Source organism: Homo sapiens, chromosome 6 (genome assembly GCF_000001405.40).
Source record: "Homo sapiens chromosome 6, GRCh38.p14 Primary Assembly".
Taxonomy (NCBI): Eukaryota; Metazoa; Chordata; class Mammalia; order Primates; family Hominidae; genus Homo; species Homo sapiens.
The window spans coordinates 89,532,805-89,559,700 of NC_000006.12; the positions used below are offsets into that span (position 1 = coordinate 89,532,805).

Consider the following 26,896-nt stretch of genomic DNA (forward strand, 5'->3'; position numbering starts at 1 on the left):
CATCTTCCCACCTCAGCCTCCTGAGTAGCTGGGATCACAGCCATGTGCCACCATGTCCAGCTGATTTTTTGTATTTTTTTTTTTTTTTGAGATGGAGTCTCGCTCTGTTGCCCAGGCTGGAGCCAGTGGCGTGATCTTGGCTCACTGCAACCTCCGCCTCCCAGGTTCAAGCGATTCTCCTGCCTCAGCCTCCTGAGTAGCTGGGCTTACAGGCACGTGCTGCCATATTTGGCTAATTTTTTTTTAATTTTTAGTAGAGACGGGGTTTCACCATGTTGGTCAGGCTGTTCTTGAACTCCTGACCTCGTGATCCACCTCCCTCGGCCTCCCAAAGTGGTGGGATGACAGGCGTGAGCCACTGCTCCTGGCCGATTTTTTGTATTTTTTATGGAGACGGTATTTTGCCATGTTGCCCAGGCTAGTGAAGATACTAGGCTCTTGACATACGTAAATACTAACTGTGATCTTCACTTTAATAGACTGAGGCCCGGAGAGGTTAGGGACTTGTCCAAGGTCATGTAGTCGTATAGAAGCTGGGCTTTAAAATAATAATGAGTGTAACCATGGAGTTGGGTATTATCCTATTTGACAACTTGCAGCAACCTAATGAGATAAGTAGCCCTTGGATGCCCCACAGTGTCCTCTGCCTCCTGATAGTCACACCATAGGAGCCATTTCCATCTCTCAGGAGTCTGGTATTTGACCTGGTACCCTCTTCACTCTGTAGTCTTCTCTGGACCATCTTCAGTACTTTTTTCCTCTGCCCCAGTAAATGGGAGCAAGAGAGCAAGGTTGCTGGCTAGCAGATACCCAGTTGAGAAGCAGAATGCTGCTCTCTGCTTACTGAAGGTACTCCTGATCTTTACAGGTGCTCCTTTGCCTCCAGCCATCACGAATGAGAGAGAGAGAGAGAGAGAAAATGAGTGTGTGTGTGTGTGTGTGTGTGTGTGTGTGTGTGTGTGTGAATGAATGCTTCTCCATGACCAGTGTACTCCCCTGAGAGCAACCCTCTCTGCCTGTCTTCCACTTACAGTGACTGAGTGGGAGCCAATTGGGGAAGCTGCTTTCTTTGAGTTGGCATCTTTCAGTGACCTGGCGGTACCTGGTCCAATAAAAAGATGTGATTTTCTGAAATCCAGTATATACCTGTATGTTTTGAGGCTGTCTTCCCAAGGTGACTTGAGAATACGTCTACACACACAGAATATTGGGATATTGTTTTCTAACTGCCTATTGCATTGTGTTAAATTACAAACTAATTCCCCAGATGATGGGATAAGTTATTTTTTTCTCTGCCAAGTCACAATATTAATAATGCAGCTAAATTTAGCTCTGCTGTAAAAGAGTTTAATTTTCAAAGCCAATTAGACAATTTGATGGCTGACTTGCTGCATTTGTCTCTAACTACTCAGTTGATACCATGTTGCCACCCTAACAGATTCTTGCTGATAGTCAAAGGAGAGATGAGTTGTGGGAAGTATAAAGCTTTTCAATTAATTTATGATCCTATTAGGTGTAAAGCCTATAATTACCCTGCGGTTGTTGCCTCTGCCAAAAAAGAAGAAAAGAATAAAGAAAACCCATCTTATGAAAAAGTTATTTTCTGAACATAAAAGTGGCATGGGAAAAGAAAAAAAAGCTTGTGCCTCCCCTCCTAAGTGTGGGAAGGAATTAAGATTTTTGGCTTTCTCCTGGCCAGTGAGTTCATAAAGTGATTTTTTTTTGTGGATAGGGTGATCATTTAGAACTGTCTTCAGATTCTGTTTTTACTTTCTTGATTAGACCTCTCCTATCTACTCATCCATTCATCCATCTGTTCATGCAACAAATATTTATAAGTGCTGCTGTGCCCAGGGACTTTCCAGGTGCAGGGGTTCAGTGGTGAGCATTAACAGGGTTCCTGCCCTCTTGGAGCTCTCATGGGGATGAGGGTGAGGGGAGACAAGATGCACAGAAGTAAATTAGTCAACCAGGTAAGTTCAAGTGGTGTTGATTGTTGTGCAGAAAATATAGAACTCAGTAATATGATGGCCTGTGGAGTTCAGGGAGAGAGGCAGCTATTCCATCTTAACCTGCCAGAAATGTTTTGGACCTAGGGAGCTAATGTCTGAGAAAGGCTCCTCATCCCCACCCTCCCACCTGAATTTGCAAGGCAGTGCTGCACACTTGGCAGATGGAAATGGAAACCTCTGCAGAAACCTGGCAAACCATTAGCAGGACTCTCTTTGGACTCTCAGCTCAGCTTAAGTAGAGCACATAGCTTCTTTGGGGGGAAAAAAAGGCATTCAAAGTCTTAAACAAGAGTAAAGTTCTCATTTGCCACTTTAATCAAGTTCATTAAAAATGGAATGTATATTTAAAACTTCCTTTTGATTAACTTAATGTAAGTGCATCCTGACTTAGGAGAGGGGGAGAAGTGTGCCCCTAGATGATATCAAACTTTGACCTTCATTAAATGTTTGCAAGTGGTAAACCTCAAAGGCCTGCAGTATAAAATGGGATAAAATTTCCAAGAATTAGCCATCCTGGGGGGAAAAATATATATTTGGTTTGAAACTCTACTACCATAGTCTGCATGTTTCCTCAGCCATTGCATTTTGACAGCTGAAACAACAGACTAAAACTGTAGTTTAAAATACAAGCACACACACTCACAGATCAATGCAAAAATACTGTGCTTTGGATTCGCCAATAAATATGGAACGTGATGCACATATGGTTGTTTGGCTGAATTCTTGCCCTGTACCTGGCCATACACAAGACAACTTCTCCATTGAGTGGGCAGCTCTACAGAGAACTCCTGGCAGTAGTGACCAGGACTTCAGGGCTTTGCTCCATTGACCTTATGCAGGACAAACTTAAGTCAAAATGTGTTTCTCCTGAAAGAATACAACAGCACTTGACCTGTCCTTGACCTAATGTGGAAAGTTGATTCCTTCTTGAAGCTAGGGAGGCAGTGTCACATGACAGTTCCAAGCAGTTGCTGTAGAATTAGACCACCTCAGCTCACATCCAGACCCCAACACTTACCAGTTGTGCAATCCCAAGTACATGGTCTCTTGTTCACTTTCCTCATCTGAAATGTGGGTATAATAGGGCCAATCCCTTGGGTTGTCAGAGGATTAAATGAAGAGAGTATCACAGGCCAGGTGTGGTGGCTCATGTCTGTAATCACAGCACTTTGGGAGGCCAAGGCAGGTGGATTGCTTGAGGCCAGGAGTTTGAGACCAGCCTCACCAACATGGTGGAAACACCATCTCTACTAAAATACCAAAATTAGCCGGGAATGGTGGCACATGCCTGTAATCCCAGTTACTTGGGAGGCTGAGGCATGATAATCCCTTGAACCTGGAAAACGGAGGTTGCACTAAGCCGAGATCGCACCAATGCACTCCAGCCTGAGCGAAGTAGCGAGACTGTTTCAGAAAGAGAGAGAGAAAAAAAACCTTACCACAATGTGTGGCCCACAGCAAAAAGCTCAATAAACATTAGCACTCTTGCTGGGTCCACACATGTCTTTTCTGGGTTTCATCTGGTTTCCAGGCGGGCTGCCTCTGCGCCTTTGTTTTCCCAGCTGCCCTTTCTCAGTAAAGCGGCATGAAAGCTACATCCTCACCACCTGAGGCACTATTGAGAAGAAAGTGTGTGCTGCCATGAACTCAACTCTGCATTGCTTTCAGGCTCAGAGTGGTGGAACATGCTCTCAGTGAAATGCAGCGTGACTGTCCTCTGTGGCCCTGTGTATGTCGAAGACATGTTTGGGAGTTTGTTAAGGAATGTAGCTGATTCAGTAGGCATTGTCTCCAAAGGCTTCCCTGTCAGGGTAACTTGAATGTGTGTGTGTGTCTGCGCGTGCGCTGTCATAAGCACATTGAGATGTTGGAAGAGCAAACTGAATGCTCTTCATATTATCTAGGGAGAACTTTGCAAAGCAAGCCAGCAGGCTGGTGGGTCCTTTCTGTTCTGCTCTAGGACATATTGCAAGCCTGGGCAAGACAGTTGCCTTCTTTTACCTTCATGTACTCATCTGGAAGTGATTATGAGGGGTACAAAGAGACATCTGTTCATTACAACATTATTTGTAACAGAAATAAGCAATAGGAAAAAACCTTTGGTTTTTTGTAAACCTCCCGAGGGGTCCTGGGATTGCAGGTGTAAGCCACCATGCCCAGTCATAGCAGTTTTTTTTTAAAGCAATTGCAAGTAGTAGTTACGATACTTGTACGAAAATATACATGCACAGATGAGAGAGTTTGTGATTTGTGCTACTGTGTGTGTGTACAGAAATAGTGTAGAAAGGATGACACCGAACTGGGAACATGGTTTCCTATAAGGAGAGAATCAAGATAAGATGAGGCCTAGGGGAATTTTGCTTTATCTATTGTATTTGAATTTGATTTTACAATACAATTTATGGTATATTACTTTTGCAATTATAATTAAAATAATAATTAAAATGAGCATGAGGCTGACCTAGCAAGGAAAGCCCCATTGCAGAGTGTACAGTGACATACTTGTGAAGGTATTACTTTACATTATTTCTGCAGGAACCCCACCCACACACCCCACAAGGTTTTTAGAGCATTGATACTGGTATGTTTCAGATACTAATTGCCAGTGATTCTTCTTCAACCCAAATCCATGTTCAATTCAGATGCTAAATGAGTCCAGTAATGCCACAACAAAATGGACAAGTGCTTGTGGTTAGATGTTGGTTTGCAAAGGAACTTAATATGCTCTGAGCGGCTGCCTAGACCACAAAAATCTGAATTATTATATAATTATAATATGTTTTATATTTTATAATAAAAATTTTAAACACATATAGAAGTAGCAAGATGGCTCATGCCTGTAATCCCAGCACTTGGGGATGCCGAGGTAGGAGGATTGCTTGACCAGCCTGGGTAACAAAGCAAGACTGTCTCTACAAAAAGAAGAAAAATTAGTTGGGCATAATGGCATGCTCCTGCAGTCCCAGCTACTCATGAGGCTGAGGCAGGAGGATGGCTTGAGCCCAGAAGGTAGAGGTTACAAACGTGAGCTGTGGTTGTGCTGACAGAGTGAGACAATGTCTCAAAAAAAAAAAAAAAAAAAAAGAAAAGAAAAAAGGCAAGAATAGTATTATATAATGGACTTTACATGCCAATCCCTCCCAAGTTACTTTGTGGCAAATCCCAGACAGCATGTCATTTCATCCTCAACTACAGCATTTTAGTTTGTATCTCTAAATGCACTCTTCTAAAAAAACATAACCACAATATCTTTACCACACATTCAAAAAGTATCCTAAAATATTTAGTACTTACTTACATTTTTTTAATTGTCACATAACATTTTAAGTTTTTTTAATTGGGATCCAAAGGTCATAGTCATTGGGTGATAAATCTCTTAAATCTTAATCTCTACGTTTCTTCTCCATCTCATTTTTCCCCTTGCAATTTTCTGTTTTTGTTGAAGCAATCAGGTCTTTTGTCTTTTACAGCAGAGCTTCTCAAAGTGTGATCTAATGCTGGTTTGTGAAAAGTATAGAAATTGACAGTAAATGTTTAGAAACTTACAGCAATTTGACATTGCTGCAACATCCAAGCACATGAGCATCATCATCGGCAAACATGGTTTGGGTTTAAATTGTATGTATGGGGATATTCTAAGGTGCTGCTACAATACAGGAAAGCATTCTAGAGTACAGAGCGGAAGAAGCATGCACCATAATGTAAGTCAACATACTGTTTCCTTCAAGAATATCTTACTATGAAAAAATTTCAGCAGAATTAAACAGGCTTAGTAATGCAGTGAAATTTATTTATTTAGATAAAAGCTAATCTGTTAAGGTCAAGACTCTATCATGTGTTAAGTGGAAGGTGATCATAAACAATAGTTACTACATGTTGAAGTATGGTGGGAAGTATGGTTATCTAGGGGGAAATTCCATCAAATGTAGGAAATCCTAGAGTTCCTCAGGATAAGAAACCAGTTTGGTTCCAACTTTTTCTTTAAAAAAAAAATGTGAATTTGATCTCTTTGATATTTTAATGATCTTAATACTTTCATGCAAAGAAGAAGAGCAACATGTTTTTCAATGACAAGATCAAAAGGCCAAAAAAAAACTTGAAAGAACAGAGTTTCAACAGATTCTTATGACATATTCCATAATTTGATAACTAGCGAACAATGTCTACATGTGATTATACCTAGGTACAACCTTTTGAATTTTATCAATGTTTGATTTTAATTGTTCATTAAAAGAAGATCCACATATGGGAAATACATGGATTTAGGAATCTATTTCTTTCATTGAAAGATAATTTAAATTTAATGTTACAGGATGAATTACTAGAATTGGCTATTATAAATTTAAGGTGAATTATGAAAATGGAATGTCAGTTGTCTCATTTTGAATAAAAATTAAAAAGTAAATATCTTGGAATTATTATATCTTGGAGTTAATTATGGATTTAAAAATTACTTTAAAATCTGTTGTTTCATTTACATAAGCATACCTCTGTGAGACTGTTTTTTTCTACGGTGATTGTTATTAAACATTGAAACAGTTAATATAAATATCCCCAAGTAGTGTTGTCCTTAACCCAGTTTAGGATTAATAGGCTAGAAGAAAACATTAAAAATTTTTAATATGAAAAATAATGATATACATGGTGTTTATGCAGTATGTATATAAGCATTTATTATGAAGAATTGCTACCTCCTTTATAACTTTAAATTTTCTTTTCATTTTTGTGGGTATATAGTCTGTATATATATTTATGAGGTACATGAGATGTTTTGATATAGGCATGCAATGTGAAATACACACATCATGAAGAATGAGGTGTCCATCCCCTCAAACATTTATCCATCGAGTTGCATTCTTTGTTATTTTAAATGTAGTTATTGACTATAGTCACTCTGCTGTGCTATCAAATAGTAGGTCTTATTCTTTTTTTTTTTTTACACCCATTAGCCATCCTCACCTCCCTCCACCCAGCCCCCAATAACTCCCCAACCTCTGGTAACCATCCTTCTACTCTCTATGTCCATAAGTTCAATTGATTTGATTTTTGGATTCTACAAAAAAAAAAAACCAGATGTTTTTGCGATGTTTGTCTTTCTATGCCTGGCTTATTTTACTTAACATGATGATCTCCAGTTCCATTCATGTTGTTGCTAATGACTGGATCTCATTATTTTTTATGGCTGAATAACCACATTTTTGTTATCCATTCATCTGTTGATGGACACTTAGGTTGCTTCCAAATCTTAGCTATTATAAACAGTGCTGCAACAAGCATAGGAGTTCAGATTTTTTTTTGATACACTGGTTTCCTTTCTTTTGGGAATGTACCCAGCAGTGGGATTGCTGGATCATATCGTAGCTCAATTTTTAGTTTTTTGAGGGCCCTTCAAACTGTTCTCCATAGTGGTTGTACTAACTTACATTCCCACCAATAGTGTACAAGGGTTCACTTCTCTCCACATCCTCGCCAACATTTGTTATTGCTTGTCTTTTGGATATTAAGCCATTTTAACTGGGGTGAGATGATATCTCGTAGTTTTGGTTTGCATTTCTCTGATCAGTGATGTTGAGCATCTTTTCATATATCTGTCATTTGTATGTCTTCTTTTGAGAAATATCTACTCAAATATTTTGCCCATCTTTTGTTTGGATTGTTAGATTATTTTCCTATAGAGTTGTTTGAGCTCCTTATATATTCTTGTTATTAATCCCTTGTCAGGTGGATAGTTTGCAAATATTTTCTTACATTCTGCAGGTTGTCTCTTTACTTTGTTGATTGTTTCCTTTGCTGTGCAGAAGCTTTTTAACTTGATATGACCCATTTGTCCATTTCTTTGTGTTAGTTGCTTGTGCTTGCGGGGTATTGCTCAAGAAATTTTTGCCCAGACCAATGTCCCAGAGATTTTCCCCAGTGTTTCCTTGTAGTTGTTTCATGGTTGCGGTATTAGATTTAAGTCTTTAATCCATTTTGATATGATTTTTGAATATGGCAAGAGATGGGGTCTAGTTTCATTCTTCTGCATATGGATATCCAGTTTTCCCAGCAACATTTATTGAAAAGACGATCTTTCCCCCAGTATATGTTTTTGGCACCTTTGTCAAAAATGAGTTCACTGTAGGTGTATGGATTTGTTTCTGGGTTCCCTATTCTGTTTCATTGGCCTGTGTGTCTGTTTGTATGTCAGTACCTTGCTGTTTTGGTTACTATAGCTGTGTAGTATAATTTGAAGTCAGGTAATGTGATTCCTCCAGTTTTCTTCTTTTTGCTTAAGGTAGCATTGGCTACTCTGGGTCTTTTGTGGTTCCGTATAAATTTTAGGATTTTTTTTTCTATTTCTGTGAAGAACGTCATTGGTATTTTGATAAGGATTACACTGAGTCTATAGATTGCTTTGGGTAGTATGGACATTTTAACAACATTGATTTCTTCCAATCTGTGAACACGGAATATTTTTCCATTTTTTGGTGTCCTCTTCAATTTCTTTTATCAGTGTTTTATAGTTTTCATTATAGAGATCTTTCACTTCTTTGGTTAAGTTTATTTCTAGGTATTTAATTTTACGTGTGGCTTTTTTTTTTTTTTTTTTTTTTTGAGATGGAGTCTCGCACTGTCACCCAGGCTGGAGTGCAGTGGCGCTATCTCCGCTCACTGCAGCCTCCACATTCCGAGTTCAAGCGATTCTCCTGCCTCAGCCTCCTGAGTAGCTGGGATTACAGGCACCCACCACCAAGCCTGGCTAATTTTTTGTATTTTTAGTAGAGACGGGATTTCACTGTGTTGGCCAGGCTGGTCCTGAACTCCTGACCTTGTGATCCGCCTGCCTCGGCCCCCCAGTATGTGTGGCTATTATAAATAGAATTACTTTTTAGATTTCTTTTTTACATTGTTCACTGTTGGCATATAGAAATACTGTTGATTTTTGTATCCTGCAACATTACTGTACTTGTTTGTCAGTTCCTATATATAGTTTTCATAGAGATATATATATATAGTTTTATATATATCTTATATGTAGTTTTCTTATGGAGTCTCATAACTTTACCTAGTTATGACTGCAGAATAACAGAAAGTTGTGAGTATAATAGGAATTTTCTAATAATTGTCTGTATTTGCACCTTCGATAAATAATGTGTATAGCTTTCCTAATTTTTTTTCTTGTTCTTTTTTTTCTAATTAGAATGTACTTTTATGTCTTTTGAATCTATGAATAAAAAATTGGGGCTTATATTTTATAAGTATTTTTCTCTTTTCTAATGTATTTTTATTGTATTTATCAATACAATTTTTAAAATAGTGACAGGTTAGAACTAAAAAACCAAGTTAGAAACAAACATGCCTGTGGTGTCATTTAACGTGCTCTTCTGTTTCTGTATTTCGTGTACCTTGGTAGTTAGATTTCCTGAAAGCTTCGTCAGAGTTGGGCGCTTTTTCTGGGTGAGAGGGACAGGACTACTTCACAACTGACGTTACGTACTTTTAGCAGGAGGACACACTGTCTAGTTGCTGCTTGTCTCTTTCTGTGATGTTACCTGTTGATGATTATTGTCAAGAGCCATTAGTGTATTAGACAATGCACAGTGGTGATATTCTAATCCTGTTATTCCTCTTTCATTTATCTCTATGCTTATTTACATCTATGGGATACTTTTAGAAAGGGAAACTTCATCTTGTCAACTCTTTGACCACCCCCCCGCTTCCCGAGACACAGGAGGCATAGATAGTATACAAAACCAAGTCCTTTGACATTACTAAAAGTCCTCGTACCTGATTCCACTTTTCTAGAGGTCTCTTGTCATATAGAAACAGCTCTCACCAACTGGTTAATGAGTATCTACTCTTTGCAAAACACGGTGAAGACAAGTCGGGGTTAAAGTAGAGTAGGACGTTGTCTTTTAACCTCAAGACTTTTGTCTCACTGTTTGGATCAGCTCTGACACCTGAAATTATTTAAGATCACCAGTATAAGTAATTCAGTGCTAAATCACTTCACTCCACAATCTACTCATATGAGGGCAAAAATTTACTGAAAGGTATTCTTAATTACAGCCTTCTAATTTCAATTTCAGAAACTGGTAGCATTTTTGTTCTTCCTGTTTATCTAACAAACTTCTGTTTCTGGTCATTAAACAGAATGTAACTTTGTGGGAAGGGTGGGGATTTTATTTATCCAAATGAATAACCTTTATTCAGTTAAAAATTGCCAAATGTCTGTTTGTTCTTGGGGTTTTTTACGGTACTTAACATTCAGCCTGCCTGATAGCAGATAGGATTTAGGTTGCCAAATGTGGAAATGCAAGGAATGTCAGACGTGGCGAAAGCAAATCTGCAGAGATTCCTTGATGCCATCTTGTAAAGGAAAATATACTACTTTTTATGAGTGATGGCTGCCAGCTATTATTCCAGGGACAACATACCATATTTTGCTTTATAGACTTAAGAAAAGGAAGACCTATAGATATTATTTTTCTGTGGAGGGTGTTCTGACTCTTCCTCATCCAGGGAACCATTTTGAGGGTCTGCTAGTTTCTAAGTATATTTACCTCATTTATATACTTGGGGACAAGGTGCTTCTGTGGACCTACTAGACTCACTGTGAAACCGACATGGCCACAGCTCCACTTGTCCCCTGGACTCCATAAGCCCCCACTCTAACGAGAGAACCACCATTTTAGATCCTGTGGTGTCAGGGTCAGCTCAGACCCGTATCTAACAGTCTGAAAGATCTGGCATTCCCCTTTCCCCAGCACCCGCCTGTGGCCTGTGATCCTAGTAGGTGGTAGAAGGTTCTTTTGTAGAGGGATCAGTGAAATCTTTATCATATGAACTGTGCGTGTGGGTATTGCAGGCTCCTTCCTCAACAAGACCTGTCCTCTCCTCAGACAGTAGACTCTGAGACTGAATTGCAGCATCTGATGTCAGCCTCTGCTTTTCAGCTCCCTCTCTTTTATACAAGTCAGGTAACACACGTGTCAGTTTCTGTCTATCTCGCCCATGCCAATCAGCCACAGATCCTTTGTGGTCAAAGAACTCCGGTTGCCACTCTGGCCTTGCTGTCCGTTATGACATTTACATCCATCCTTGCCTCTGGTTAATTGTTACCACCTGGCCTCTGCTATTTTGGAATCCTACCATCCCCCATTAATTAAAAAGCTCAATACCGTGGCAGTGTCTCTTACTGTCAACTCCAGCCAACAGAGGACAAAACCACTGAGCTTCTCAATGACACTGTGCCCCTCACAGATGCACTTATCCCTTTAGTGAAGGAAGCGACCTCTCGGCCCTCCTGGGATCATGGTCTGATGGTTGGCTCTTCTGATCTTTCATAAGAGATCCACACTACATGCCCACTCTTGAGCCTTTTGACCTCCTCAATATTCTGCCAAGGCAGTACCAGCATCTCCATTTAACTTACACGAGGCCATTGTTGTGCTCAGGCCGCAAGGAGCCATCCCAATGTCCGCAGACCAGCTTTAGGTGTCTGCCGGAATACTAAACTACAAGTCACAGCAGAGTGCTCCCATGCAGATAAAGCCTCACCAATCTAGCCTGACATTCACCTCATCACCCTCCCCTTTCCGCCTGTTCCCCAGGCTCCCATCAGTGCAGTGAGTCCTGTCCGGGCACAGTGGCTCACGCCTGTAATCCCAGCACTTTGGAGGCCAAGGCGGGCAGATCACAAGGTCAGGAGATCGAGACCATCCTGGCTAGCACGGTGAAACCCCATCGCTACTAATAATACAAAAAATTAGCTGGGCGTAGTGGCAGGCGCCTGTAGTTCCAGCTACTCAGGAGGCTGATGCAGGAGAATTGCTTGAACCCAGGAGGCGGAGGTTGCAGTGAGCCAAGATTGTGCCACTGCACTCCAGCCTGGGTGACAGAGTGAGATTCTATGTCCAAAAAAACCCCAAAAAACAAAAAACAAACAAAAAAACCAGTGGGTCCTGAAAGTCCTTCAGCATGAAGCTATTCTCTGCATGATCCTTATCAACTGGAGTGAAAAGGATTTGAGGACGGGAAGCATCATCTTAAGAAGTAGCTGCCTCAGATGAGGTCTTTACAGGATTTCTAGGCAAGAAGAGGTTGCTCTCCTCTAGTAAGAAAGGGATGTTTCGGGCCAGGCACGGTGGCTCACGCCTGTAATCCCAGCACTTCGGGAGGCGGAGGCGGGCAGATCACGAGATCAGGAGATCCAGACCATCCTGGCTAACACGGTGAAACCCCGTCTCTACTAAAAATATAAAAAATTAGCAGGGCGTGGTGGCGGGCGCCTGTAGTTCCAGCTACTTGGGAGGCTGAGGCAGGAGAATGGCGTGAACCTGGGAGGCGGAGCTTGCAGTGAGCCGAGATCACGCCACTGCATTCCAGCCTGGGCGACAGAGCCAGACTCCATCTCAAAAAAAAAAAAAAAAAAGAAAAGAAAAAGGGCTGTTTCTACTGGCCCAGAAAGTTCGGGGGAATTTGGGAGTTCAAGATTCTGGGACTTGTCCACCAAATGTCCTTATCGCAAGTATCAGGGTGGTTCCATCTGGGTAAACTCTCCACATCTCTGGGTTGTGACAGTGGTTTCCTGTAGCGGTAGTCCCACTCTTTGGTGTCAGAGAAACTCTATCCCAGGTGAGGTGCTATGTAGCTCTACTGGTCATAGCAGCAGTAGCTGAGATAGTGCAGCTGAGAGGATTATGAAGTAGCGCACAGGAGGTGTTTGTACAAGCCTTCTCTATGAGACTTTATTTCTGAGGTCAGATAAGTACTTCATTTAAACCCAGAATTCCTGTGTGACGGGTACAGTCACAGGAATCTCAGGAGGCCAAGTGTTGCCCCTGAAGTTTTTCAAACCCCAAAAGATGAACTAAATCTTGAAGAAAACAACATTGAACTTGAATCAAACGTGGTTGTTGTTATAACAATGATAATAGCAATAATAATCATGGCTACCATTTACTGACCATTATTAAAAGATGGCATCTGGATTAAATGTTCTGTGTATATTATTTTAATTTATTGAGACAGAGTCTCACACTGTTGCCCAGACTGGAGTGCAGTGGTGCAATCTTGGCTCACTGCAAGCTCTTCCTCTCGGGTTCACATCATTCTCCTGCCTCAGCCTCCTGAGCAGCTGGGACCACAGGTGCCCACCACCACGCCTGGTAATTTTTTTGTATTTTTTTTAGTAGAGACGGGGTTTCACCGTGTTATCCAGGATGGTCTTGATCTCCTGACCTCATGATCTGCCCGCCTCAGCCTCCCAAAGTGCTGGGATTACGGCGTGAGCCACTGCGCCCGGCCTTACTTTAATTTTTATAACCATCTATCAGAGAGATAGTATGCTCAGTTTACAAAAGAAACAGCTGACACTTTGAGAAGTTAAGCAGCTTCTTCACAGTAAAAACACCAGGAGGGGAGTGGGGCTTGAATTTGAACCTAAATTTATATGACTCTAAAATGTTAACCATCTGGTTTATAACAGCTATTTTGCTTCTCCAGCCAAGCCATAAAAACTTAAGAAATATATATACCAGTCAGAATCTTTCATATATATGTAATTTTTGAAAAAGGGACAGTGTAACAAGCTAATGATGTTCCAAAAGTTGTGTGGTGGGCGGGGGGACAGAAGGGCTGAAAGCAGTGTGATGATTGATTGATCGATTGATCGATTGATTTTGAGATGGAGTCTCACTCTGTCACCCAGGCTGGAATGCAGTGGCGTGATCTCGGCTCACTGCAGTCTCCACCTCCAAGGTTCAAGCGATTCTTGTGCCTCAGCCTCTCGAGTAGCTGGGGCCATAGCCGTGCGCCACCATGCCTGGTTAATTTTGTATTTTTAGTAGAGACAGGGTTTCATCATGTCGGCCAGGCTGGTCTCAAACTCCTGACCTCAAGTGATCTGCCCACCTTGACCTCCCAAAGTGCTGGGATTATAGGTATGAGCCTTGCCTATTATATATTTTTAACTGCAGTAAACCACATTTAAGAGAAAAAGAAAAGAAGGAAAAAATGGGGAGATGTCCCTGTTTCATAGGACCTTCTCACTGTGATTGGCGTTTTCCAAGATGAGCGCCTGCAGTCAGCCCCTCTCTAGTCCTTGGCACTTACAGGATACCTGTTGAGCTGCTGTGAAATATCACTTTTAAGAAACCTCATTTTTTATTTTGATTTTTTTGAGACAAGGTCTCACTCTGTTGTCCAGGCTGGAATGCAGTGACGTGATCACGGCTCATTGCAGCCACACCTCCTGGGTTCAAATGATCCTCCCACCTCGGCCTCCCAAAGTGCTGGGATTACAGGTGCATACCATTGTGCCTGGCCTTAAGAAACTTCTTTATGGGGCACTGTTGTGGGCCATTGCTAAGAACGGTAACTAGTTACAACTTGTTATTTGGGGGGGGGGTTACATATGTGTTCTAGCAATGAGTTGAGGCAGATGTAGGGGGCAGTGGTTAATCTGGCAAGGGTTGGTCTTAGAGGTGGGAAACCACTGTTGGCAGCCCTTTCTGCTGCTACCTCCAATAAGAGCCAGCCCAGCTGAGTGGTTTCACTGGTGTGTGGGATGTGCCTTTGTCATGGCCTGCAGACCTGATGTTGATGCTCTTGCCCATGACTGAGGACAAAGGGGCGGGGTGGAAAGCCATCAGGTGTGGTGTCTTGTTCCCAGGCCTCCGGGGGTGTCACCTGCCTCTGGGGGGCAGCCTGCCCTGCTCAGCTAACTCATGTAGGGGCTCCCTGACAGCAGCTGCTTGGCAGCGCACCAGCGGGGCTCGGGAAACAACTCTTGCCATCCCCTCAGTATTAGTTGCTGTTTCTCTGCTTGTGGATATTCCTTGATGGCAGGATTTTCCTCTTTTTGACTGAACAGCAAACCAGTTTAACTCCTTACATAATATTTTATAGAAAATTGTATCCTTTATTGGATCTGATAGAAATCATTGAGTATATCCCAGGAATGTCAAAAGGTAAGTTGGCTGAGAGCCAGCTGCTACCATTTCTGTCACTTCAATTGTTAATGGGCATTTCCTATGTTCATCACTGTGGCAAACACTTTATTACCTTCTTTGGTTCTCACAGTAACCATATCAATATTTTTTTATCACCCTCGTTTTACAAAGAAGGAAAATGAGGCTTACAGGGCTTCAATGACTTGCCTGTGGCATATAGCATGCAGTCAGTTGGAATGAAATCCGTGTCTGATTTCAATGCCCCAACACCTAAATAGAATTTTAAAAATTGAGATATATTTTACATACCATAAATTTACCCTTTTAAAAGTGTACAATTCAGTGGTTTTCATGTATATTCACAAAGATGTCAGTCATCGCCACTAAATCCAGAACATTTACATCACCCTAAAAAGACATCCCATACCCATTAATAGTCATTCCCTATTCTTTCTCCTGGCAACCACTAATCTACTTTCCATCTCTATGGATTTGCCTATTTTGGACATTTCATATAAATAGAAGCATGCACTATGTGGTGTTTTGTATCTGGCTTCTTTTACATAGTTTAATTTTTCAAGATGCATCTATGTTATAGCATGTATCAGTAGTTCATTCCTTTTTATGGCTGAATAATATTCATGGTGTGGCTATACTACATTTTGTTTATCAGTTCACCATTGATGGACATTTGAGTTGTTTCTACTTTTTGGCTGTTTGAATAATGCTGAAGAGAACATTTGTATACAAGTTTTGTGTGGTCATATGTGTTCTGTTCACTTAGACACAGAGCTAGGAGTGGAATTACTGAGTCATATGGTAACTTTATGAATTAACTGGACTTTTACTTGAACTCCTGAGTCTTCTCAAGGTATGAAAATAAAGTAGATAAGGCAATTTTTAAGGCAGTGCTGTAGAAGCCCAGCATATTATAGAGAGGAGAGTTCCCACTGCTGTGAAAAAAGAGGCTTCTCCTTTGGAGCTTTGTTATTATTTTGATAAAATTATACAGTGGCGACCAGTGTTAGCAAATGAGGGTTACGCAGCGTCTTAGTGTGTAGGCTGGAAAACACATGACTTGCATAGTAATAGTTAGGTTTCCATTTCTGTTATCTCTGCTATGGTTTGAATGTTTGTCCCTTCCAAAACTCGTGTTGAAATTTAATTGAGGCTGGCTGGGCACGGTGGCTCACACCTGTAATCCCAGCACTTCAAGAGGCAGAGGCAGGTGAACTGCTTGATCCTAGGAGTTTGAGACCAACCTGGGCAACATGGTGAAACCCTGTCTCAACAAAAAATACAAAAATTAACTGGGCATGGTGGTGGTGTTCACCTGTAGTCCCAGCTATTTGGGAAGCTGAGGTAGGAGTATTGCTTGAGCCTGGGAGGTTGAGGCTGCAGTGAGCCATGAGCGCGCCACTGCATGCCTGCCTGGGTAACAGAGTGAGACTCTGTCTCCAAAAAAAGAAAAAAGGAAAAAGTTTAATTGCCATTGTAATAATATTAAGAGGTGAGATGTGGGACCAGTAAGAGGTGATTAGGCCATGAGAGCTCTGCACTTGTAAATTGATTAATGCTGTTATTGCATGAGTGAGTTCATTATAAAAGAGCAAGTTTGCCTCCCCACCCCCAATCCCCCACCACCCCACACCCTCCCTTGCCCTTCTGTCCGTAGCTATGTGATGATACAACAAGAAGGCCCTTGCAAGATGATAGCTTCTCAATCTTTGATGTCCCAGCCTCCAGAACTGTGAGAAATAGATCTCTGTTCATTATGAGTTACCCAGTCTCAGGTATTCTGTTATAGCAGCACAAAATGGACTGAGACAACCTCCCATGCATTCAGGTATTTTTTAAGCCTGCTTTGATAAGAAATCAAAACAAAAACAACTTGGAGTTTATTCTTACATGACTTTCTTTTTTTTATGTGACTTTTTGAAGTCATAGACTGCTTTTTAGAGTGGTGAGGAACAGACAGAAGCCCAGTGCCCTGCACTCCTGCCTCTGGGACACCCAATGCCTTATATGCTTCAAACAGACTGATGGGTACATTTGAATGTGAGAAATATGCATAGAAACATCAGCTACATCAAGGTGGGAGGATTATTGAGGCCAGGAGTTCAAGACCAGCCTGAGTAACATAGTGAGACCTGTGTCTCTTTAAAAAAAAGAAAAGAAAAAAAAAGAAAAAAAAATTAGCCAGACTTGGTGGCAGGCCACTGTAGACCTAGCTACTCAGGAGGCTGAGGCAGGAGGATCACCTGGGCCCAGGAGTTTGAGGCTGTAATAAGTTCTGATTGTGTCACTGCACTCCAGCCTGAGCAATGAGATTCAGTCTTTAAAAAGAAAGAAAGAAAGAAAGAAACCAGCTACAGTTAAACATATGTATGCATACCTATGACCTAGTAATTCTGCTGTTAGGTATATATGGTATATATATATGTGTCTGTATATTCACCAAGAGACATGCATATAAGAATATTGATAGCAGCACCACTATTTTTTTTTAATACACAGAATGTAAGATTACCTAAAATCTCTTCAACAGAAGAATGGATAAATGAGCTATAATATAGTCACATAATAGAACTCTATACAGCAGTGAGAATGAAAGAATCATAACAATATTGGATAAATTTCACAAATAAAATCTTGAGTGAAAGAAGCCAGATGGGAAAGAATATATCCTGTGTAGTTCCGTCCATATAAAGTTCAAATATGGGCAAAACTGACCTGCAATATTAAAACCAGGACAGTGACTACTCTTGAGGGTAGTGATTGGAAGGGGTGTGAGGGGCTGCTGGATACTGGTTAGTCTTTTCTTGACTGAAGTGCTGGTTACACAGGTACATCCTGTTAGAAAGTTCTACATGCTGTAAGTGTACACTTTTCTATATATTAGAATTTTTTAAAGAATGAGTAGGCCAGGTGCGGTGTCTCACACCTGTAATCCCAGCACTTTGGGAGGCCGAGGAGGGGTGATCACTTAAGGTCAGGAGTTCGAGACCAGCCCAGCCAACATGGTGAAACCCTGTCTCTACTAAAAATTCAAAAATTAGCAGGGCATGGTGGCGGGCGCCTGTAGTCCCAGCTACTTGGGAGGCTGAGGCAGGAGAATCGCTTGAACTCAGGAGGCAGAGGCTGCAGTGAGCAGAGACTGCACCACTGCACTCCAGCCTGGGCGACAGAGACAAAAAATAAAAAACAGCAAAAATAAAAAGAATGAAAGTATATGTATACACACATACATATAAATAATTGGTTTCATGTTTTCCCTATCTCTAGTTCTAAAATAAATCTTAAACATGATACAGACTATGGAAATGTAATAAATTCAATCAGAGAGAATCCCTTTGTTAATTCAGCAAATATCTGAAGAGCAGAGCCTGGGCTGGGAGGCAGTCTTCTTGTTAGGAAGGGGGTGGGATTTGAGAATGCCTCAGGAATGGGAGGGACTGAGCTTGAGCCCCCACCTATCGTCAGTAGCTGCATCTTTTCCTCACGCTGGTATGCTCACTGTCTTTTCATGTCATTCTTCTTCCTTTGCGTCTCCTCTCCTACCCCCAGCTCTTCCTGCCTTTTTTTCTGTCACCCTCTTCCCACCATGCTGTTTGTTTTGACATTGAACTAGATATAAATTATCCAAGAGGCGATCTGGCTGAGGCTGGGGAATGTGCAGGACTGTCCTCGCCCAGGGCTTTGGGAGATCCCCCAGGAAAAGGGTTGTCAGGACTGGAATGTCCACCCAGGAGAAGGTCTGTGGATTTTCCCTACAAAGGACTCCCCAAAGACTGGGTTCCAGGCCCCTGAGATTAGGGAAGAGGCAAGCCCAAGAGAGAAAGCTCCATCATCTACCACAGCAAATGCAGATTTTCTCTATGAAGAGAAGACCAAGCCTTTTGCTATGAGATCAGTAGGGAAAGGGCACAGGGTTAACCTGGGACTATTCACAGAAGAGTCTTAAGCTTTGTAATTTCTCAGGTTATTTTGGATCCTGCCTCCTGAAGACTGCTGAATCTCAGCTAATTTTTGTTGTAGAAATAATTTGCCTATGATAATAATGAGACTATCCTGAGAGAGATGTTTATTTTAAGACTGTTTAAAACTCTCAGGAATAAATATCCCTGGGGCTGATTCTGGGCATTAAAAACACAATTCAAGGTGAGTTTCATTTCTCTTCCTGCGGCCTTCACATTAGGAACCTCTTTTTACAAAGATGTGGCAGAATTTTGATTTTAAATAATTCATAATGATACTGTTGACAATTTTGTATGTTTGTCATGTGACATAATTATTGGTTAAGGAATGTAGTGGACCAAACTTGCTCATGGCTAATCTGTGGCTGAAACTTAAAATATGGACAATATCCAATTTGGAAGAAAGCCTTAGCTCGGAAATAATCAGATATAACCAGGATTAGGGAGATGCTGACTGAAGATAAGCTGACTTCAGACAGGGTATTCTTGCGAAGCATGTCCTCCACCTAACTGGAGCATTACCTTCCTTAGGGGTCAGAGTCCACCAGGTTAGAGTGCTTCTTCCTGCCATGGACTGCACATGCACATGGCTAATCATCATGTATGATGACATGAGTATAGGAGAGGACCCTCAGGGCCTCCCTGATGGCCAGCTGTACCTGAAGTCCTCCTAGTCCCCCTTATCTGCAGAGACACTTGATCCCAGCAAAGCTCAGTGCTGAAGCCAAATACTGTGTCATGCTGCGTGCTGAGTAAGGCCAAGAGACCAAATGAGGATTTGGGCAGCGCTTGGGAACTATAAAGAAGAGGTGAAGGTTTAAGAGACAGAGGAAGGAGTAGATGTTGGGAAGGGCTTGGAAATCTAATTGGAGAATTTAGCCTCTTGTTGACTTTACATAGGCATACATACACCCTAATATTTAGTGAGTGCTTTTTCTGTGCCAAGTGCCGTGCTTATCATCTACTCCCTTGGGAGTAGCTCCCTAGCGTATTCTCCTAGCTACCCTATGAAGTCAGCAGCTATCATTATTATCCCCATTTTTATAGATGAGAATATTAAGGCCCAAGGAAGTTAGTCATATAACCTGCCTAGGGCCATGAAGCGCATTCTATGGGTGGACTGCTTAAATAGATTCTCTCCTTCCCTTGCTTCTCCCCACTCCTGCCTCAGCCAACCTTGGAAGAGAATTGAGAAGGGGACCTAGCGGAGTCTTTTGTGGATAGTGGTGTGGACAGTCCATGTAGTACCGGTGTTTCCAGACCATGATGTCACCTCTCACAGGTGGTAGACATTATCAGCGGAAAATCACACCTAACCTGGACATGCATGTTGATAGCTGCAGAGAGCTGTGAGAGAAGGTCATGTGGGTTAGGGAGAGTGAGGGATGAGAGGGAAGAGCAGTGTGTGTCATAGTATCTGGAATAATCTAGCATCAGATGGATATCATTTCAAGAAATGCCTCAGTGGCAGAATGATTGAATAAAATGGGACTCCTGGAATGAAAACCAGGCCCAGAAGAGTCAGAAACACCATTTCTGGAGGAGGGTCACACAGCCGACTGATAGCAGAAGCAAGTATGTGTCACTGGGAGAGATTGAGCGTGTGCCTGAGGATGGCGGGCTCACTGACTTGCAGGTGTCCTCCAGCCCTGGGAGAAGGCCTCTGTCCTCTGTGGGATAGCGTAGAAGAAATACTGTTGGAAACCAAATTAGAGTAGCAAATCACAGTTGGTGTTTACTTCTGAGTAGATATTCATGTTTATGGGAAGCAAAGGCTTCCCTTTGCCATATTCAGGACTATGTTTGCAGGATTATAGTCAGACATTTAATTCCCCGCTAGCAGAGCAGCTTCCTGGTTTTTTCAAGCTTATGGTGCAGAATTGGAAAGTGACAGGCTGTCACGCTCATTTCAGTTCAGTGGTGTTTCCTGTGGGAGATTACTGAGGACTCAGTCTGACTCAGCTGGCAGCTGGAGAGACCCCAGCCAGCGTGCCTCTCGTCTCGCCCTCACCAGCAGGACCCACTTCTCCTGCTGACATCATGCCCATATCAAGTGCTTCCCCACCTTACTTTCTCCCTCACAAAGGAATGAGTGATGGATAATTAATATGTAGAAGTACATATAAAGTGTATGAAATTGTATGAAGGATATGTAGCCAGTAGGACTACTCTTGCCCCTGGAACCTGACCATCCTTCAAACAGCAGCAAGGGACCCTTAGGTTACAAAGTATTTACAGGTGTTGAAGTGACATATTGGAGCTCTGGTTCTTGGCCCTAAAGATGGGGGGGTGTGAGTGACTTCAAAAAGGGAGCACAGCCTGTGATTTTCAGTGGCTGAGACAAGTAATTGGTGAAGAGTTATTGAGCATCCATTACGTAGAAGGCATTCCTATTTCCTTTGACTGCCGTAACAAACCACTGCAAACGACATGGCTGGAAACAACAGACATTTATGCTGTCACAGTTCTGGAGGGCAGAGTCTGAAATCAAGCCACTGGTGAGGTCGCATTGCCTCTGGAGGAGACTGTTCCCTTGTATCCTCCATTCTCTGGTAGCTCCAGGGTTCCTTGGCTTGTGGCCATATCACTCCATTCTCTGCCTCTGTGGTCACATGGCCTCTTTTTCTTCTGTCTCAAAACTCTGCCTCTCTTATAAAGGACACATGTGACTACCCACCCAGATAATCCAGGACATCAACGGATTAACTTAATCACGTCTTTTTTTTTTGTCATATAAATTAATATAGATTCTGGGGACTAAGACATGGACATATCTTTTGGGGACCCACCATTCAGTTCACTATAGAATTCTATTAGTTTATCTGGAAACATGAAAAAGTAAGAGAAGGTATCAGCTCTCTAAGAGTCTGTAATGCAGTTAGGTGAATATAGATGTGTTTATTTATCCAATAAGCCTGTATTGTTTCCATGCCACGTATTGTTCGTGTGACAGGCTGTGTGGTTGCATTGAACTTACATAGTGGAATGAGACACAGCCCCTGTGCTGGAGAAGCTCAGAGTCTGAGAGGAAAGACATTGTACACAAGACTAACCTGAGAGAATTTCAGTCTCTCATGGTCCAGTGTTTGTAAGAAGATATTCAAAGAAGCACAATCCGAAGACCAAAATTAACTTGTAAATGCATTTTAATAACTTCTTGTTCTCAAAAGTAAAGGAAATCCAAAATATAACCCCATAGTACAATGTTCATATCCTGGTTTTCTTTCCTAATTCTCTCACATTCCCCCATTCTGCATGGCACATTCATTTCTCCCTCTCCGCCTCTCTCTATCCTCTCCTCCCTCCCCGCTTTCTCTCCATCCTCTCCTCCCCCCCTTCTCTTCTCATCCTCTCCTCCCTCCCCCCTCTCTCCCCCCTCCCCCGCCTCAGCGTTTTTTTATATAGATGGGCTTAGCCTCCCTTGACAAGTCAGCTTTATTCTATCTCAACTCTCCCGCTTGTCCTCTAAGTCTACATCCTAAAGCCCAGGAATTTCTCTGGTTAGGACAGTCTCCTTAGAAGGAGAGGCACATGGAGAAGCCTTTTTACTTAGAATATAAGAAGAGAGGCCAACAGTACTGACATCACACAATTGCAGTCCAGTTTGATAAGTATTACAGTGAGATTTTAAAAATACATTATTTTGTGCTGGCCTCATTCAATTTTTGCAGCAACCCAGTGGGTAAAAACTGTAGTTATTCCTATTTTATACATAAGGGAGTGGGCTTATAGTCATTAAGAAACTTGCTCAAAATCAGTAGCAGACCTGGGATTTGAGCTCAGGGCAGGGTGATTTCACCCTTGGGACCCTGGAGGTTGGAAGAGTATTAGGAGAACCTTTAAGAGGAGGACGCCTTTGAATCAGGTATCTTTGAAGTCTAAGAAGGAGTTTGGACAAGATTTAAAGAGAATTCTAAGCAAAAATGACATGGTGGGGCTTTCAAGGTGCTCTAAGTACCTTTTGGCCAAGCTAGGGTGCAGGATGCAGCGGGGGAGAGGTATCAGAAGAAAAGGTGGTTGGAAACAGACTGGGATGAGACTATGCATGGATTTGTATATCTCTGGACTTTGTTCTGGGGGAAATATGTGTCACTGAGGTTCCAAGGAGAGGAGAAACACAATCACATTTGTGTTGTGAAAAGAGCACTGTAACATCAGGGATCACATAAATCAAGGCGGGGGAGGGAGAGGGCAGGACTTGAGGCAGGGAGAGTAACGTGGCAGAATGGCTTTTACATGCAAATTCAGCCCATAATTAGCAGTCCCACTAGCCCCCTGTATGGTCTGTTTACATAAAACACTCTGACAAGAGGCACAGAGGAAGAGCAGTCCATAGATAAAGGCACCATAGACCTAGCAAACACCGCCAGCAGTCTGCCCCCTGGCAAGTGGGCACAGTGGCAGTGGCTCCTACTGCATTGCAGCTCAGCTGTCTGTTCTCAACCTTTGCCATCTTGAAACAAACTGAAGGGGAAGGGCTAGGTTCTCATTATCCCTTTCTTCTAACACTGACACAACATAAAGCAGGAACTTGCCTCTCATTGGCTCATTGCCCTCTAAGATCCAGACAGAGCACAGAGAATTTAACCACCATGGGCTCAATGGTTCTGTCTTTCCTGGGAGTCAAGTTAAAGAAATCCCAAGAACTAGCTGACCAGCTTGTGCTGACTTGTATAAAGTTATCTTTTATTGAGGACCTGTTTTGAGACAAAGCACACTCACTATCTGAATCCTGAATATTAGTCTGGCTTTGGCTTCTGTTTTTCCCTAAGTGAAAACCCATCTGCAGAAGCAGATTTCCATATATAAGCTGAAACCTGCTTTACCTCTTGTCCCAATTTCTAAGTTTAGATAATCACAGAATTTCAAGAAACATTAGCAACATTCAGTTAGAGACCGTTGCAATAACCCAGGTAAGAAATGATGACAACTTAAGGCAGTGGCAGTACAGCTAAAGAAGATGGAACAGATCAAGGAACATCTAAACAGTAACCATAGAACCATGCTTATGTTAACTGAGCACTTTCTATGTGGCGGGCATTGAATAAAATGTGCATTATCTCATTCAATCTTTGCAACAACCTAATGAGGTAGGAACTGTTATCCCTTCTATTTTACATGTGCAGAAACAGACTCAGAGTCATTAAGAAATTTGCCCAAAGTAAGTGGCAGAGCTGGGATTTGAGCCCAGGCAGTCTGACTTCAAAGCTTATATTTTTAGTCTCTAGGCCTTACTGTCTCAAATCAGGATGATTTGGTGGTTTAGTGAATGTGGGATAGGGGGAAGGGGAAGAAGAGAAATGGGGGAGGAATGTTCCAGATTAGGGAAATAGATAGCTAGATGAAAGATGGAGCCCCTCATCAAGGTGAGGACACAGGAAAAGGAACAGGTTTGGGAGGAAGGATGGTGATTTGGTTGTGAATACATTGATGGGGGACATCCAAGGAAGATGTCTGGTAGGTGGTTGGGTGTTTAAATATAGAGCTTCAGAGAACGTGATTGAGGGTAAAGAAGTAGACTCAGAGGAATCTGTATCTAGGCAGCAGAGGAGCATGTGAGCAGAAGGGAGGGGGAGCACTGAGATCTAGAGAAGAAAATGAGCAGAGAAGATGCCCAAAAACCTCAAGGACCTGCAACATTTAAGGTGTCAGTGAAAAAAGCATTCAGTGGAAGAAAGGAATCGTCCAAGGGATGGTTAGGAGAATGAGGAGAGAATGGCTCACAGGAACCAAGGAGGAGGAATTTTGAGGGAGGGATGGTAGCAGGGCCCAGTGCAACAGAGAAATCATGTAAAGGAAGAGTCAAAAAGTTACTATTGCATTTGGCAATTACGTCAATGTAAAACCAGCCGGTGGGAGTGCAACATGGTACAGACATGTTAGAACAGGGGTCCCTAACCCCCAGACCGTGGACCAGTACTTGTCCGTGGCCTGTTAGGAACCTTGCCACACAGCAGGAGGTGAGCAGCAGGCAAGCAGGTGAAACTTCATCTGTATTTACAGCTGCTCCCCATCACTTGCATTACTGCCTGAGCTCCCCCTCCTGTCAGATCAGCGGCAGCGTTAGATTCTTATAGGAGTGTGAACCCTACTGTGAACTGCACATGTAAGGGATCTGGGTCATGTTCTCCTTATGAAAATCTAATGCCTGATGATCTGTCACTGTCTCCTGTCACCCCCATATGGAACTATCTAGTTGCAGGAAAACAAGCTCAGGGTTCCCACCAATTCTACATTATGGTGAGTTGTATAATTATTTCATCATATATTATAATGTAATAATAGAAATAAAGTGTACCATAAATGTAATGTGCTTGGATCATCCTGAAACCATTGTTCCCCACTGCTGAGTTTGTGGAAAAACTGTCTTCCATTAAACTGGTCTTTGGTGCCAAAAAGTTTGAGGACTGCTGTGTTAGAAGACAGTATAGACATTTCTTACAAAGCTAAACGCTGTGCTGCCATATTACCCAGCAATTGTACTCCTTGTTATTTATGCAAATGAGATGGAACTTATGTCCACACAAACCTGCACATGAATGTTTATAGCATTTTTATTTGTAATTGCTGAAACTTGGAAGCAACCAAAATGTCCTTCAGTAGATGAATAGAAAAGCAAATTGTGGTACAATGGAATATTATGGTATACAATGGAATATTATTCAGCACCAGAAAGAAATGAGCCATGAAAAGGCAAGGAGGAACCTTAAATGCATATTACTAGGGGAAATAAGCCGGTCTGAAAAGGCTACACACTGTATGATTCCAGCCACACAGAATTATAGAAAAAGCAAAACTCTGGAGAGAGTAAAAAGATCAGTGGTTGCCGGGAGCTTTGGGGCAAGAGAGGGATGAATAGGCAGAGCACAGGGGAGTTTTAGGGCAGTGAAACTACTCTTTGTGGTACTTTAATGGCAGATGCATGGTATTATTCATTTGTCAAAACCCATGGAACTGTACAACACAGAGTGAACCCTAATGCAAACCACAGACTCTAGTTAATAATACTGTATCAATATTGACTCATCAATTGTAACAAATGTATCACACTAATACAAGATGTTATTAAAAGGGAAATCTGTAGGGGTGGGGGTGGGCAAAGGGCTATATGAGAACTCTGAACTTTCTGCCCAATTTTTCTGTAAACTTAAAATCGCTCTAAAAGTCTATCAGTGAAGATAAAAAGGAGAGGAAAGGATGGAATAGAAGAAATAAATGAAGGAGGAAACAGGGCAGGAAGAAAGAGAAAGCCGTGCATATACAATCTTGAGAGTGTAGCATAAAACCATAATTATAATTAATTCTGTATGCTTGTGTTACAAGTAGAACAAAAATATGACTAGCCACTCTTCTTGCCAACTCCTAGGGCTCTCCATCACAAGTGTAAGATGCAGTTCAAGTAATTTGGCATGATGTGAAAATTTTTCACTGCCTGACTGCCACCTCATTTTCTAACACCATCACTGGTCTTTGCCGTGTTACAAGCTCCAGCTGCAGTTGTCTCTTTGCCTTTCTTTGCTACTCATGACACATACTTTCAGACCACTCTGCCTTTTTGCTCTTGCTGTTTCCTCTGCCTGTGTCTTCTCCCCTTCTAACCTAACCAGATCCTACCTCCTCTAACACACTACCTTCTCTGTGAAAACTTTCCTGACCTCCTTTCACCCCAGCACAGCAAGCAAGAATGATCCCTCTCCCAGTTTCCACAGTTCCTTATGCCCATCTCTTCAATATATGCTTGGTACTCCACAAAATAAATAACAAAAATGGTTTCAGTGGAAAAACTGGGGACAGAAAAGCCAGATCAGAGCAGATTTAAGCAATGGGTAGAAATTGAGATTTGAGTACATAGAATTGGTTTTATTGTGATGCTGTGTTAATTATTTTGATTTGTCTTTAGCATTTGGATCTTTACCTAACAGGGGTTGAGGGTGGTGAGAAGAAATTCCCAGAGTGGCCGTGGTGCTGTCCA

General features: G+C 42.0%; 1 protein-coding gene across 15 annotated transcripts in view, besides 2 other annotated features; it reads left to right on the top strand.

Annotated features, from left to right (window-relative positions):
* ANKRD6 (ankyrin repeat domain 6) overlaps positions 1-26,896 on the top strand; it is a 200,683-nt gene that overhangs the window by 99,653 nt on the left and 74,134 nt on the right. The gene's annotated exons all lie outside the window — the stretch shown is intronic.
* Positions 20,227-20,728: an enhancer, noted in NCBI's record as "OCT4 hESC enhancer chr6:90262750-90263251 (GRCh37/hg19 assembly coordinates)". NCBI's record gives its function as "activates a minimal SCP1, AML or CMV promoter by ChIP-STARR-seq in primed H9 embryonic stem cells {active_cell/tissue: H9 hESC(primed)}" and the evidence as "EXISTENCE:reporter gene assay evidence [ECO:0000049][PMID:30033119]".
* Positions 22,719-23,219: an enhancer, noted in NCBI's record as "NANOG-H3K4me1 hESC enhancer chr6:90265242-90265742 (GRCh37/hg19 assembly coordinates)". NCBI's record gives its function as "activates a minimal SCP1, AML or CMV promoter by ChIP-STARR-seq in naive H9 embryonic stem cells {active_cell/tissue: H9 hESC(naive)}" and the evidence as "EXISTENCE:reporter gene assay evidence [ECO:0000049][PMID:30033119]".